The following is a 15,838-nucleotide window of genomic DNA, read 5'->3' as shown; positions in this document are numbered from 1 at the left end:
CCTTACCAACAGAAAATCTGGTATTCCTTTCTTGGGGCCTTTCCCAATACTCTATCTCCAGACGATCCAACATTCTAGGGCCTTTCTCACTTCTAAAGGGTCAATTACACTTCCAAATGCCAGGTGGGAGAAATAACTAGAAAGTTCTATGAACCCACCAGCACCATTGCTTTGGTAGTTACCTCATAGGCATACTAAACACTGGTCTCGCTAGCCCAATGGCCAGTCATCCTTGTTTTGGAAATGTCCTTGCTGCTCACAGGTCACAGTCATGTCTTCACTTGTATTTTTAGGTCATTGCACTTGCTCAGTTGTCATTCCTCAGTGAAACTGTGCCCAGCTGGCTTGGTGTGGAGGTTCATCCCTCAGCCAACTACTAGAAGGAACTATCCTTCCCCATGAGATGCTGACCAAGTACCAATGTTGAATTCAGATCACCAAACCGGACATGCCCATGGTGAACTCCAATCTAGCCCCGTTAGTGTTCTTTCCAACAAACTTCAGTCCAGTTCATCTCAATACATCAGTATCTAATGACATTAACCCTCACAAGAGAAGGGCCAAGGACTTTATCCCTTTCCTTCCAGGGACTCCTTGCCCTCTTGGCAAAATTGTCCAATTCCTTACTCAGGACTAGTTTTATACACCAAGGGCTATGGTAAGGGGGCCACCTTTGTCAGAGCACAAACAAAAATCCCCTAATAACATTCCCCCAGGAGTAAGAGGTATCTACTGGCCTGACATTTTTACAACTATGGGGTGCACTCATGTGATTTTTTTTTCCTATTATAATGAAAATCTGCTCCAAGTCTGCTGCTCAATGTTGAAGAGGCAGTTACCATTTTTTTACATTTCATCTCACTGGTTCTCAATAACATCTAAGGTCTCTTTAAGCCAAGTATCACTACCTCTGTTTACCATTATAGAAATGAACAGTTTAAGAGACTTCCTAGTCTCCATGACCACAAAGCCAGGATTCAAAACCTAGTCTTTCTAACCCTAAAAACAATTAAATATATATATCATTTATTATACATTTTTTATTCACCAGCTACTTTTTAAAAACTTTTTAAAACAATTTACGTGCAGAAAAATACACAGATCCCAAGTATACAACTTGCTGAATTTTCACAAACTGAGCTTCTTAATATTGAGCAGCAGACTTGGAGTAGATTTTCATTATAATAGGAAAAAAATCATAGGAGTGCATCCCATAGTTGTAAAAATGTAAGGCCAGTAGATAACTCTTACCCCTGGGGGAATGTTATTAGGGGATTTTTGTTTGTGTTCTGACAACGGTGGACCCATTACCATAGCCCTTGGTGTACAGAACTAGTCCTGAGTATGGAATTAGCCCATGTAATCAGTACACACAACAAGAAACACACATTTCCAACGACTCCTAGAAAGCCATCTTATGGTACTTTCTATTCATTCTCCCAACTAGGGTAGTCATTATCCTATTGTCTAGTTTTGCCTGGTTTTAAGCTTTAGATAAATAAAATCATACAGTATTTACTCTTTCATGTCTGGCTTCTTTCATTTTACATTATATGTGTGAGTTTCATACCTGTTGCATGTACATGCAGTTTGGTCACTTTCATAGCAGTATAATATTCTATTACATAAATATACTACAATTTATCCCTTCTATTGTTGGTGGGCATTTGGGTAGCTTCCACTTTGGGGATATCACAAATACTGCTACAATGAACATTCTACTACTTGTCTTTTGGGAAACATATGTATTCATATCTATTGGGCGTATACCTAGGTGTGGTAAAGCTGGTCATATAGTATGTATAGTGTTCCAATGGTAGATACCAATCATTTAAGTGCTTTACATGTATCAACTCATTTAATCCTCATAATAGTCCTAATAATGTAGGTATTATTATTAGCTTTCATTTTTACATATGAGGAAATAAAGGCACACAGGGAGCAAATATATTAAATAGTACAACCAGTCAGTAAATAAGTTGACTTTTAAACTCAGGAAGTCTAGGTCCAAAGCCTGACCCATAACCACCATCCTGTATTCTTTTTTTTTTTTTTTTTTTTTTTTTTTTTTTTGAGACGGAGTATCGCTCTGTCGCCCAGGCTGGAGTGCAGTGGCGCGCGGTCTCTGCTCACTGCAAGCTCCGCCTCCCGGTTTCACGCCATTCTCCTGCCCCAGCCTCCCGAGTAGCTGGGACTACAGGCGCCTGCCACCATGCCCGGCTAATTTTTTTGTATTTTTAATAGAGACAGGGTTTCACCGTGTTAGCCAGGATGGTCTCCATCTCCTGACCTCATGATCCACCCACCTCGGCCTCCCAAAGTGCTGGGATTACAGGCCTGAGCCACCGCGCCCGGCCATCCTGTATTCTTAAACCAGGATTGACTCTATAACTATACCATTCTGTTATTTGCTAATTCATTTCCCTTGCCATTTACAAGAAGAGTTAGAGTACATGCACACATACACATGCACACACACACATATGCACACACAAACGAGAGTTCTAAGGAATGACAATTGTTAACACCATTGATATCATTGACAGAAAACCAGCCACAAGCTGGTCACTTACATGAGCAGTTTGTATATATGTGAAAGGTTTAGATCCACCGGGGGGAGTAGTATTTTTACTTATTTTACTTCTGGTAAAATTTGAAATATATGAGAAGAGGATTCCGGGAAGATGGCAGAATAGAAGCACCAGGAATCTTTCTCCCCACCTAGACAACAATTGCCCTGGCAGAATCTGTCTGATGTAACTATTTTGGAACTCTAGCATCTGTTGAAAGCTGGAAACTTCCAGGGGAAGGCCTGAACGGTAAAGTGGGGTTGATTTTGTTCAATTTCACCTCTTCACACAGCAGCAGTTACCCATCCTCTACCCCTAGCTCTATGGCACGCAGCTCTGCAAGTGTTCCTGCAGTAACCTGCACATAGCTTGCTGAGGCCAGGATGAGCAAAAAGGACCCTGTCCACCAAATACTGGGGACCTGTGCTCTGAATGGTGATTACTGCCTCTGGTCACAGAGGTGCAAAGAGGTAGGTGACCATTGTTGTTGCATCTCCCCACAATTATTGCAAGCCCCATCTCCTCTGGCATAGGTGATTACCAGGGGATTTAAAGAGCAGACACCCCCTTTGTTTTTCCTCTGTTCATTTTTCTTTTTCCCATTTTGGGGGCCAGGCACTGAAGACTAGGACATTCAAAAACAAATATATATATATATACATATACATATACATACATATATATATATACACACATATACATACAGAGAAAATTAGAAAGTGACTGTGCATGCACAGGGGAAAGTGAAGGCTCAGAAAAGACCTGAAAAGACTAAATGTGCAACTCAGGATGATCCTTGGCACAGAGGCAGCCTACGACAATCAACAAAACAAAAACAAAAAATAGCAAACAAAAACAATTTTTAAAAAACAGCAAACTCTAGGGAAGGAAGAGAATCTGAGTTCCAGAGTTACCACGTTATTAAATTCAAATGCCTAGTTTTCAACAAAAAAAAAAATCACAAGGCATACAAAGAAATAGGAAAGAATGGCACATTCAATAGAAAACAATAACAGAAACTCTTCCTGGAAAAGACCTTTTAGAAGAATTACTAAACAAATATTTTAAAATAACTCTTAAAGATGATTGAAGAACTAAATGAAGCTATGGGGAAAGTCAAGAAAATGATGTGTGAATAAAATGGAAACATCAATAAAGAGACACAAAACCTGAAAATAAACAAAAAATTCTGGAGCTTAGAAGTACAAATACTGAAATAACAAATATCACTAGAGGGATTCAAAGGCAGATTTGAGCAGGGAGAAGAAAGAATCAGTGAACCTGAAAATAGAACAATGGAAATTATTAGTCTGAGAGACAGAAAGAAAAAAGATTGAAGAAAAATGAACAGAGCCAAAGGGACATACAGGATACCATCACATGTACCAACATATGCATTGTGAATGTTTCAGAAGGAGAAGAGAGAGAGAAAGGGGAAGAGAGAATATTGAAGAGATAATGTTTGAAAATTTCCCAAATTTGATAAGAGACATGAAAGAAACATCCAAGAAGCTCAATAAACTCCAAGTAAGATGAACTCAAAAGAGTCCCACATTGAGTCTTGTGGGAGTCAAGTCCCTGATTTGAACAGTACTTTCTTCTTCCTATTAAATAAGAAAAAAAAAAAAAAAAAAAAGAGTCCCACATTGAGACACATATAATCAAACTTTGAAAAGACAGAATCTAGAAAGCAGCAAGAGAGAAGTGACATAACATATCATATACAAGAAATCCTCAAAAAATATTATCAGCAGATTTCTCATCAGAAAATTGGGAAGTCAGAAGGCCATGGGCCAATATATTCAAAGTACTAAAAGAAAAAAAACTGTCAGCCAAAAACCCTTTATCCAGCAAAATGGTCCTTTGTAAGTGAAGGGAAAGTTAAGACATTCCCAGATCAACAAAACCTGAGAGAATTTGTTACCACTAGACCTGTCCTGTGAAATGCTCAAGGGAGTCCTGCAAGGTAAATAAAAGGACACTAGACAATAACTTAAAGATATCTGCTGACAAAGATTTCAGTAAAGGTAAATACATGGTAAATTATAAAAGTTAGAATTATTGTAACTTTGGTTTTAACTCCATATTTTGTTTTCTATATAATTTAAGAAACCAATGCACTTAATAGAGTTATTAGTTTGTTTGGAGGCACACAATGCATAAAGATATAATCTAGTGACATCAACAGCCAAAAGGCATGGACATGGAGCTGAAAAGGATCAGGGTTTTGTGTGTTATTGAAATTAAACTGGCCGGGCGCAGCGGCTCACATCTGTAATCCTACCACTTTGGGAGGCTGAGGCAGGTGGATTGCTGGAACTCAGAAGTTTGAGACCAGCCTGGGCAACATGGCAAAACCCCATCTCTACTAAAAATACAAAAATTAGCCAGGCACAGTGGCATATGCCTATAGTTCCAGCTACTCAGAAGGCTGAGGCAGGAGGATCATTTGAGCCCAGGATGCAGAGGTTGCAGTGAGCCGAGATTGTGCCATGGCACTCCCGCCTGGGTAAGCCAGACCCTGTCTTAACAAAAAAGAAAAGAAAAGAAAAGAAATTAAATTGCTATAAGTTCAAATTAGAGTGTTATAACTTTAGGATGGCAAATGTAATCCCCACAGTAAGTACAAAGAAAATCACTTAGAATATACACACACCCAAACGAGAAAGGAATTTAAACATTTCACTATAAAAAAAAATCTACTAAACACAAAAGAAGACAGTAATACAGGAAATGAGGGGCAAAAAAGAAATAAAGCATATAGAAAACAAATGATAAAGTAACAAAAGTAAGTCCTTCTTTATCAGTAATTGCTTTACATGTAAATGAATTAAACTAACCACCCAAAAGAAAAAATTAGCAGAACGGGTAAAAACACATGATCTCATTATATGCTGTCCACAGAAACTCATTTTAGATCCAAGGACACAAATAAGTTGGAAGTGAAAGGATGTAAAAAGATATTCTACACAAATAGTAACCAAAAGAGAGAGCAGGGATGGATATACTAATATGTGAAACAGACCTTAAATCAAAAAACTTTACAAGAGACAAAGAATGATATTATATGTTAATAAAAAGTTAAAAACTGTAAGAACAGATAACAATATAAACATTTACACACCTAATAAAAGACCATCAAAATATATGAGGCAAAAACCAACAGAACTGAAGGGAGAAATAGATAGCTCTACAAGAATAGTTGGGCACTTCAATGCCCCACTTTCAATTGTGGATCAAACAACTATACAAAATATAAATAAGGAAATATAAGACTTAAAAAACACAATAAACCAACTAATAATAGATTTCATAGACATATACAGAACACTCTACCCATTGACAGCATCCACATTCTTCTCAAGTACATATAGGACATTTTCTAGGATTGGCCATATGTTAGGCTACAAATTAAGTCTCAATAGATTTTAAAAGATAGATATTATTCAAAGTATCTCCTTCAACCATAATAGAATAAAGTTAGAAATCAATACCGAAGTAACTGAAAATTTCACAAATTTTTGGAAATCAAACAACACACTCTTAAACAACCAACCAATGGATCAAAAAACAAATCACAAGGGAAATTAGAAAATACTTAGAGACTAATGAAAATGAAAACAACATACCAAAACATATAACACAGTGAAAGAAGTGCTAGGGGAGACATATATGGCTGTAAACACCTGCAGTAAAAAACAAGAAAGATCTCAAATCTACAACCTAAGTTTCAACTTAATGAACTAGAAAAAGAAGAGAAAACTAAACCCAAAACTAGCAAAAGGAAGGAAATAATAAAGATTGGAGCAAAGATAAGTGAAATAGAGAATAGAAAATCAAGAGAAAATCAATAAAATGTGAAGTTAGCTTTTTGAAAAGACAGACAAGATTGACAAAGCTTTAGCTAGACAGAACAAGAAAGAAAAGACAGAAGATTCAAATTACTAAAATCAGAAATAAAAGTGGGGACATTACTACCGATTCTACAGAAATAAAAAGGATTATAAGAGAGCACTATGAACAATTATATGCCAACAAATTGAATAGCCTAGAAGAAATGGAAAAATTCCTAGAAACACAAAACCTACCAAGACAAGATCATGAAGAAATAGAAAATCCGAACAGACCTATAAGTAGTAAGGAGATTGAATCAGTAATCCAAAATCTCCTGACAAAGAAAAGCCCTGCACTTGAGGGCTTCACTTGTGAATTCTACCAAACATTTAAAGGCAAACTAATACCAATTCTGCTCAAACCTTTCCAAAATATTGAAGAGGAGGAAACATTTCCTAACTTACGCTAGAAAGACCAAGGGACTTAAATAGCTTTCGGTTCTAAGAGTTTTAGTCATACTGTACTTAGAGCATGGATATTGATCTGGATTTCAGTCACAGGCCAGTGTGCAAATTCAGCACATGACTCCTTCCTTGAAATACAGACTTATAAACTTTTCCTGGCTGACTGAACTTGCTGGCCTTTTCCTTTACACTCATGTCTCTTTTCTGTGTATGTAGGATGGTTACTGGAAAATGTTAACAGTATACAGACACATGTTACACAAAACATGGCAATAAATGTAGAATAATGAAACTGGCAAGAGGATTACAAACTTATATGCAATAACAGACCTTGAACTGGAAAGATCCCCCAAACAAAAATTTAAGAATTAAGTTGTCTGGTTGAGAAAATTTGTCTGCCAAGTCCTCACAAGTAATTAGAAAATCAAATAAAGCTTATTCCTCTCCTAGTCTCAGTTTTGTTTTGTTTTAATGAGAAGGAGAGACAACAATAAGATAGATAATAAAGCATGTAAAATATAGTACAGCATGGTAAAATGAACATGAATTTTACAGTTAGACCCAGGTTATATGACCTTGGACTAATAACTTTACCTCTCTGTCCTTACTTCCTTTTTTTTTTTTTTTTTTTTGAGATAGGGTCTTGCTCTGTCACCCAGGCTGGAGTGTAGTGGCGCAATCTTGGCGCACTGCAACCTCAATCTCCTGGATTCAAGTGATCCTCCCACCTCGGCCTTCCTAGTAGCTGGGACCACAGGTACACGCCACCACACCCAGCAATTTTTGTATTTTTTTAGTAGAGACAGAGTTTCACCGTGTTGCTCGGACTGGTTTCCAACTCCTGAGCTCAAGTGATCTGGCAGCCTCAGCCTCCCAAAGTGCTGGGATTACAGGCATGAGCCACTATGCCTTTCTCTGTCCCTGTTTCCTGATCTACAGTGATTAAGTAAAATAAGTTCTATAAAGAGCTCAGAATAAGGTAGGTATGCAAAAAAATATGTTATACACATGATGATACTATAGCCAACACATCATTGCCAAGAGGCATGCAGAGACCTCGATACCAGGATGACAAGGAGATGGAAGCCATTCCAGTATGGCTCAAGCTAAAAGAACTGACCTGAGCTTGGGCTTATTTGTCCATCAGACTACATCACAGTATTTAAAGGCAAGCTTAATCTGATCCAGGCTGGCACTTATACCCAAGGGCCTAGAAATGGAGGCCTAGAAAGATATGACTGTGGAGATAGTCATAGTCAAGTGGTTAACAATTTGATTCCAGACAGACTCATTCATGTTAAAACATACCCTTGGCCAGGACCAAAAGAGATAAGGGGCTGATCCCCCAAAAACAGGGGTCAGCACAAGCCAGGAGTTTGTCAGGGCCCTTGTACTAGGCTGAAAAATGGCCCCCAAAATGATATCAAATCACATCGAATCCCTGGAACCTAAAAATGTGACCTTATTTGGAAAAAGAATCTTTGCAGATGTGATTGAGTTAAGGATCTGAAAAAGAGGCACTTATCCTGAATAATCTGGGTAGGCCCTAAATGCAATCACCTGTATCCTTATAGAATAAACACAGAGGAGAAGGCAATGGGAAGACAAAGGCAGAGATTATACTGATGTGGCTACAAGCTACAGAATGCCAAGGAATCCCAATAGCCACCAGAAGCTGGAAGCAGCATGGAGCAGATTCTCCTTTAGAGCCTACAAAGGGAGTATAGTACTGCCCATAACTTGATCTCAGACTTCTGGCCTCCAGAACTCAGAGAATAAACTTCTACTGTTTTAAGTGGTGATTTGTTACGGCAGCCCTAGAAGACTCCTACAGCCCTGGACAACGCTTTGGGGTTTGGACAAAATTTCAGCCCAAGAACAGAAATGGAATTCAATCTAGAAGTTGAGTAGAAGCCCATCCACAAGGGTTCATGGAGAAGACAGCAGTGTGGCATTTTGCTCAATGCGTACCAGACCTAGGCCATCCAGACCAATTCCAGATCTAACCATGATGGGGAGGAGCAAGTCTTGGGTTAGCTAGGAATTGGGTTCACCTTGCAGATGGGATATTTCAACAGCCACAGCCAGGCTGGGCAAACAGGAACTGGCAAAGCAGTGGGTGATGTTTTGGCAATAGATGATAAATGTCTTCTACAATCTGACCACATATAATTAGAGATAATGTCAGTTTCAAAAGGAAAAACACAAAGGGTCAGAAAATATGCTGCTCTTGCTGCGGAAGGAATCTGTCCAAGGACCTGGAATCACTAGTTCCTTCCCTTCACAGACCAGGCACACACTAGCCCTAGCTCTGGGGTACGGAGTGTGCCATCTGTTCTGGCCCTTTCTGTAGCCCCCATACCCTCTCTGGAACTAAGATCTCCCTGTGTGCTCAGGGAGACTCCTTCTTCAGCCAAGAGCTTCTGTGACTTGAACAGACCATTCTGTACCCATATTAGTAAGAAAGGAGAACTGGGAAAAGGAAGAATTTACTATCCCTACAGGGTTCAGACTCATGTCTGAGACTCAGCCTCATTGTTAGAATACAACAAGGATCTCTTACCTCCCCCACAACAACAAAAAAAAATGGTATCATAATGGGCTCTCAATTTAGATGTTCTCAAAAGCTATACTTCTCCCTCCCTATAGGAGAAATAAATGTGCATCAGTTATAGTCCCTGTCCTTCAGAAGTTTGTGTCCTCATACATAATATGAGGTCAAAACACAGTCACTAATCTGGAGAGATGTGAGTACAGTAGAGTGGCACAAGCTATCAGAGTTGAAGAAGTTGAGAACAGAGCATGAGAGATATTTGTATTAATATGTCAATGGCAGGAATGAAAGGATTCCAATATATGGCAATCTGACATTAAATTCATAGCATCAATTTTATGGCCACTAGACATAACCTGGGCAACATGGTGAAACCCCACTTCTACAAAAAATATAAAAATTAGCTGAGCATGGTGGTGTGTGCCTGTAGTCCACACTACTGGGAGGCTGAAGTGGGAGGATGGCTTGAGCCCAGGAGGTAGAAGTTGCGGTAAGGCATGATCATGCCACTGTACCCCAGCGTGGACAACAGAGTGAAACCCTGTCTCAAAAAAAGAAAGAGAAAGAAAGGGAGGAAAGAAAAAGAAAGAAGGAAGGAAGGAAGGAAGGTGGTGGGGAGGGAGGTAGGGAGGCAGGGAGGAAGGGAGGCAGGGAGGGAGGGAGAGAGGAAGGAGTCTTATCCAGAATGACCATCATGATGTTGAAATAAAAGAATGCAATGTATGGTTATAATGAAAATCTCTGAATAGTCAAAGAATTTCTAAATCATTTCACCACTCTGGGCTTGATCTTGATTGCTTTATCTATCAAATGAAAGAGGTGTTTTTTTGTTTTTTGAGACACAGTATGTTGCCCAGGCTGGAGTGGAGTACGGTGGCGTGATCTCGGATCACTGCAACCTCAGCTGAAAGAGTTTTATACATTATCACTAAAGTCCTTTCCAGCCCCCAAATATTCCTTAGACAGTTCATGGCAAGGTCGATACCAACAGGTACCTTTTGTAAGGCCATAAAGATTGGTTGACATGTGAGTCGGTAACTGAGGAAATAGAGCAAATTGGTCTGCATAAAACCTTGGGTTCCTTCCCAAGAGGCAATATGGCCAATCAAGGGAAATGGAAGACTGATGGACACCAAACCTAAGCCCAGGCCTGTGGAACATGTCCCATCACCTCCATCAATTTGGTTTCACTTTGCCTTCATTTTAATGCCTGACTGAAATTGCTATTCCCCTCCCCTATTTCCCCAATTTTTTTTTGAATTAGGCTTAACTTTCTAAAGCTTAAAAATTATAAAACAAAAAACAATATGAAAAAGGGGGGAGGGAAGGAGCTGTACTCACATAACTGTAGAATTGAAAGGACCACTGTGATGTTAAAGCCTCAAAAAGAGGCTGAACTACTGACTCCTCAGAGGGTTGACTGGTTTGAGCCACATATATTAGCGCTTGCCTCCTCAGACTCATCTGTTTGTTGGTTGCTATGTGGATGGTGATAAAATACCCATTTGGGTGGGGTCAAAAATTATATTACACTCTTATAGCACATCTGCAAATCCTGGCCTTTTGAACAAATGACCGCAGTACACCAGGCCTCTGTGCTGTCAGAAGCTGTTTCCCAAATACCAACTTTGAACCTAGCCCTACCATATGGACTCATGGGGTCAATGAAAAATGGTGTCTGAGGGGCCCCAAAGCATGAGAAGTTCTGGCAAAAAGTGACAGGTTTTATCCAGGCTGCTGAAGAGAAATGTACTGAGACTGGAAAAGCTAAGGAGGTGCACGCCTTCAGAACGTGTCTGTGGATCAAAATACACCCTAACAGATTCTAGAGAGAGCCCCTGGTGGCTGTGTTAATCTTGGCATTGTTATCATTAAGAGGCTATGCTCATTTCTGGCACCTAACACTGGACATATTGACAGCAACCGGGTTGATGGAAGAGGAAAGAATCTGTTTTGCAGTTAAAAAAAAAAAGTTCTCAGATTTCTCAAGCTATTTGAAATCACGCCACAGAAATACTTGATTTCAGCATTCTTCAGCTCTCTGCGATGATGCCGCAAGTGGTGTCCCCCACATGTGATGATGTATTTCAGAGCCAGAGTTTTCTCAAGATGTTCCAAGCCTGCAGGCTCCTGATCCTTTTTCAAATTACCAAGATAATAGTATCCCAGTGAGAGTTGTGATTAGTCTAAACTCTCCACAGCTGTGAGAGATGAATGTACAAATTCCAATAAAGATTCTGCATGTTCTGGGCTGAATTTACCTACATGACATCGAGGCCTAATTCAGGGACCACTTAAAAGAACTGGAGCTGCTTCGGTGCTACTCCATTCTTCCATGGCATCAGCTGCTAGGAGGCTTGCAACTGATCCAGGAGGATGCCTCCCCTCATGCCAATGTCACCGCCCACCAGTGGGTATTTGTTTAAAAGGCCTGCAGTATGCAGGGGAAAGATGCAGGGAAGGGAAAATTAAACCTAAGTACATGGGAATTCAAAGAAGCCTTGCAATTCATTATGTGAGCAGCCAGGGAGATTACAGAACACCTTGTAACTGAAGCAGTTGGCCTGAGGCGGCGTGGGACAGCAGAACCAGCTGCCTCACCACCTCTAACTCATTTATAATGGTGCTAGCAAGAAACCAGGCTCAGAGAGTTCTTCAGATTCTTGGGAAAGCCAACAGTGCTTTGGTTTCCTAATTTGGACACCTTTTACCTAAAATACTTCCTTGAATACTAAGTGAATGTAATAATACATGACATGCCCCTTTACCATGTTTTTTGTTTTGTTTTTAAGACAGTCTCATTCTCTTACCCAGGCTAAAGTTCAGTGGCACTATCTCGGCTCACTGCGGCCTCCACCTCCTGAGCTCAAGCCATCCTCCCACCTCAGTCTACCACATACCTGGGACCACAGGTGCAGCGCTGCCATGCCTGGCTAATTTTTGTAATTTTTTTGTTAGAGACAGCGTTTTGCCATGTCACCTGGGCTGTCTCAAACTCCTGGGCTCAAGTGATCCGCTCGCCTTGGCCTCCCAAAGTACTGGGATTACAGGCATGAGCCACGGCACCCGGTCTCCTTTACCATGTTAATAATTGTATCACCTGGAGGCACTTGCCTATTCTTTACGAAATACCTGACACTCAGCATGCTTTCCATGACTGGGAAAGACAGGGGACAAGGATTCACGACATTGTCTACACACGTTAACAATTATGGAGAAAGAAATAAGATTGTTAGTTAAACAGAAAGTTATACCAAAGGAATTTATAGCCCGGTTTAAAAAAAAATGATCTAATAGGATTTGCCTGAATGTAGAATCTTCTAAAGCCACACTACCTTCATCTTATACATCCACATCCATTGTTTAGAGCCCACTGAATTTTTAACTGTATAACTTTCTTTCTGACATCTGGAGATTTTAATAGTGCACTGTAATTTTACAGTTTATCACACAGCCATACACATATGTTACTCTTATGTGACATATGGCATTTCTCCTTGTAGACTCTGAACTCAACCTTTCACTCTCGGTGGCAAACCAGAAAGAGAACATGACTCAAGTCAGGAGACCCACCGGAGAGTTGAATGAGCCATAAATGAAATTCTCAAAATACCAAACTCTGGATGATCCATACATCCATTTTATTAAAATGGGAGTGGGCAGGAATGGAAAACCAAGTATCATATGTTCTCACTCGTAAGTAGGAGTTAATTTATGGGTACACAAAGGCATACAGAGTGGCATAATGGACACTGGAGACTCAGAAGAGAGGAGGACGGGTGAGGGGTAAAGGATAGTAACACTATCTATTGGAGGCTGGGTGTGATGGCTCACGCCTGTAATCCCAGCACTTTGGGAGGCTGAGGCGGGCGGATCACCTGAGGTCAGGAGTTCGAGACCAGCCTGAACAGCATGGAGAAACCCTGTCTCTACTAAAAATACAAAATTAGCCCGGCATGGTGGCACATGCCTGTAATCCCAGCTACTTGGGAGGCTGAGGCAGGAGAATCACTTGAACCCAGGAAGCAGAGGTTGTGGTGAGCAGAGATCAAACCATTGCACACTCCAGCCTGGGCAGCAAGAGCAAAACTCCGTCTGGGAAAAAAAAAAAAAAAAAAAGAACACTACCTTTTGGGTATAATGTACACTACTCGGGTGACAGGTGCACTAAAATTTCAGACTTCACCACTATACAATTCATCCATGTAACCAAAAACCGCTTGTACCCCAAAAGCTACTGAAAGTAAATAAAATCAATAAAATGAAATTTTAAAATGTAAACGGAATAAATTATCCAATCAAAAGACCAGAAAAATGGGAGTAGAAGTGAGGGAGCGAGGGAACACACTAATTTTTTTCTAATATACACAAAAAACAAAACACAGAAAACCAGAAACATTTTCTCTTTTATTTTTTCACCATCTCTCATTGCAAATCTTCTACACGCTAATAGATTCTTTTTTTTTTTTTTTTTTTTTTTTGAGACGGAGTCTCGCTCTGTGGCCCAAGCTGGAGTGCTGTGGCGCGATCTTGGCTCACTGCAAGCTCCGCCTCCCGGGTTCACGCCATTCTCCTGCCTCAACCTCCCGAGTAGCTGCCAGTACAGGCGCCCGCCACCACGCTCAGCTAATTTTTTGTATTTTTAGTAAAGACGGGGTTTCACCGTGTTAGCCAGGATGGTCTCCATCTCCTGACCTCGTGATCCGCCCGCCTCGGCCTCCCAAAGTGCTGGGATTACAGGCGTGAGCCACCGCGCCCGGCCGCTAACAGATACTTTCAACATTGGTACAGATCCCCTCAGATTTCATCTTCTCAAGAGCAAAATCAAATCATTAATGTAAGCCTGTTAAACTGGATGGCCACTAACTATGACTTCCCCTGGAACCATGTTGCAAGGACCGCTTTTTCAAGCAGCTTTTCCTTGCCTTTCTGCTAGAGACCGGTTCTAGGTAAAATCGCCCAGCAAGGCAACTTGGAAAAAAACTTTAAAAAATTAATTAGTTGGAAATCATAGAATATGCCAGGATTCTAGACAAATAACTAGTGTCCGAGTCCCCTCCTTGCCCCAACATTGTCTCCCCACCCTCTAGAGTTCTCTACTCTGACTACAAGGGTAATACATGTCAGGGTGCCTCTAGGATACTACTTAAGCATCCTGACAGTGTCTGATCTGAGTGGTCAGTGCTCAATGTTAAGTATTTTGCATAAAAATGCTAGTTTCCCCTGTGTGTGTAAATATACATATATGTTTATATGCATATTTGTGTGTGTGTGTGTGTGTGTGTGTGTGTGTGTGTTTAGGCCAGGATTCTAATAGCTAAAACAAAGATTCAGAGACAATAAATAGAGCAGCCCTGCAGAAAAGGGGAGTGTTGCCTTGCTGAGAATATTCACAGTTGGTCTGATGGTAACATGGGGTGTTCTACTAAATGACAGTTTGATCTAGATGATTTGTTTGTTCAAAGTATCTTTCATCTCCTAGGGATAAAAAGCCCTGCTTTGTCACATTTGCAATTTCCCTCATGTAAATAACACCCACTATGGCTCATTTCAAGCTTCCCAAGTGACATCACTGAATGGAAAGTTAAAGAGAGAAAGTCTTTCAGATGTAAACAATCTCAATTATATTTATAAATAATAGTAAAAGGTAGTGGAATCACTAGCATATGAATTTTGAGTATCATATTTGCTTTTAACATAATGTAATTGCAAGTTTGCATAATTTAATATTTAATAATAATTGCATTTAACAACTAGCTCCCAAAATCCTTGAAAATTTATCACTGGGTAGGAGTGAGCATGTCCCATTGGCTCCAGCACACCACTACATGTTGCTCTTCAGGGACCTTAAAAGATACTTTGAACAAACAAATCATCTGGATCAAACTATCTCCAGAGTTCCCAAGGGTGCCAACCTCTTTGCTACCCCACTTTAGAAATACCCAAAACACAGGTTAAACTATGCACAGTATTTATTAAGAATGCCATTTACAATACCTTACACTTGTATCACGCTTTACACTTTTCAAAGTAGTGCTTTTATGGCACGGTGGGACTGTCTGACCCTGCAGAGTGAATTTAAATCGCTGGGTAATAGCTTTTTAATGTATAATGGGTGAAAAGATAGTCCTGGGAGCCGTTTGTCAAAGAGAAAGGCGAAGGAGTGGAACTGGCAGCCCCACAAGGAAGTCGGGAAGCTGGTTGGCCCCTACCCGGTTCCTGGTTCTCTCCTGGAAATGGCTCCAACATTGTGCAAGCAAGTGGGTGTGCAATAGTTTTGAGCACGCATCTCTCTCTCTGTCTCTCTCTCTCTCTCTCTCGGATTTAATTAGAATTTCCGTTTTTTCCAACAAAGAGTTGGACGGGATACGTTCTAAGACTTTTACAAACTGTAAAATGATGAGCGAGGTAACATT

The 15,838-nt window shown here is 40.3% G+C and overlaps 1 long non-coding RNA gene across 9 annotated transcripts in view, besides 1 other annotated feature; it reads right to left on the bottom strand.

Moving 5' to 3' along the window:
- CFAP418-AS1 (CFAP418 antisense RNA 1) overlaps positions 1–15,838 on the bottom strand; it is a 541,308-nt gene that overhangs the window by 524,445 nt on the left and 1,025 nt on the right. The gene's annotated exons all lie outside the window — the stretch shown is intronic.
- Positions 15,757–15,836: an enhancer, noted in NCBI's record as "active region_27656". NCBI's record gives its function as "activates an Ori minimal core promoter by ATAC-STARR-seq in GM12878 lymphoblastoid cells {active_cell/tissue: GM12878}" and the evidence as "EXISTENCE:reporter gene assay evidence [ECO:0000049][PMID:35858748]".

This window comes from Homo sapiens, chromosome 8, assembly GCF_000001405.40.
Source record: "Homo sapiens chromosome 8, GRCh38.p14 Primary Assembly".
Classification (NCBI taxonomy): Eukaryota; Metazoa; Chordata; class Mammalia; order Primates; family Hominidae; genus Homo; species Homo sapiens.
The sequence above is the reverse complement of the archived record's forward strand: the minus strand, read 5'-3'. Positions and strand labels throughout refer to the sequence as shown.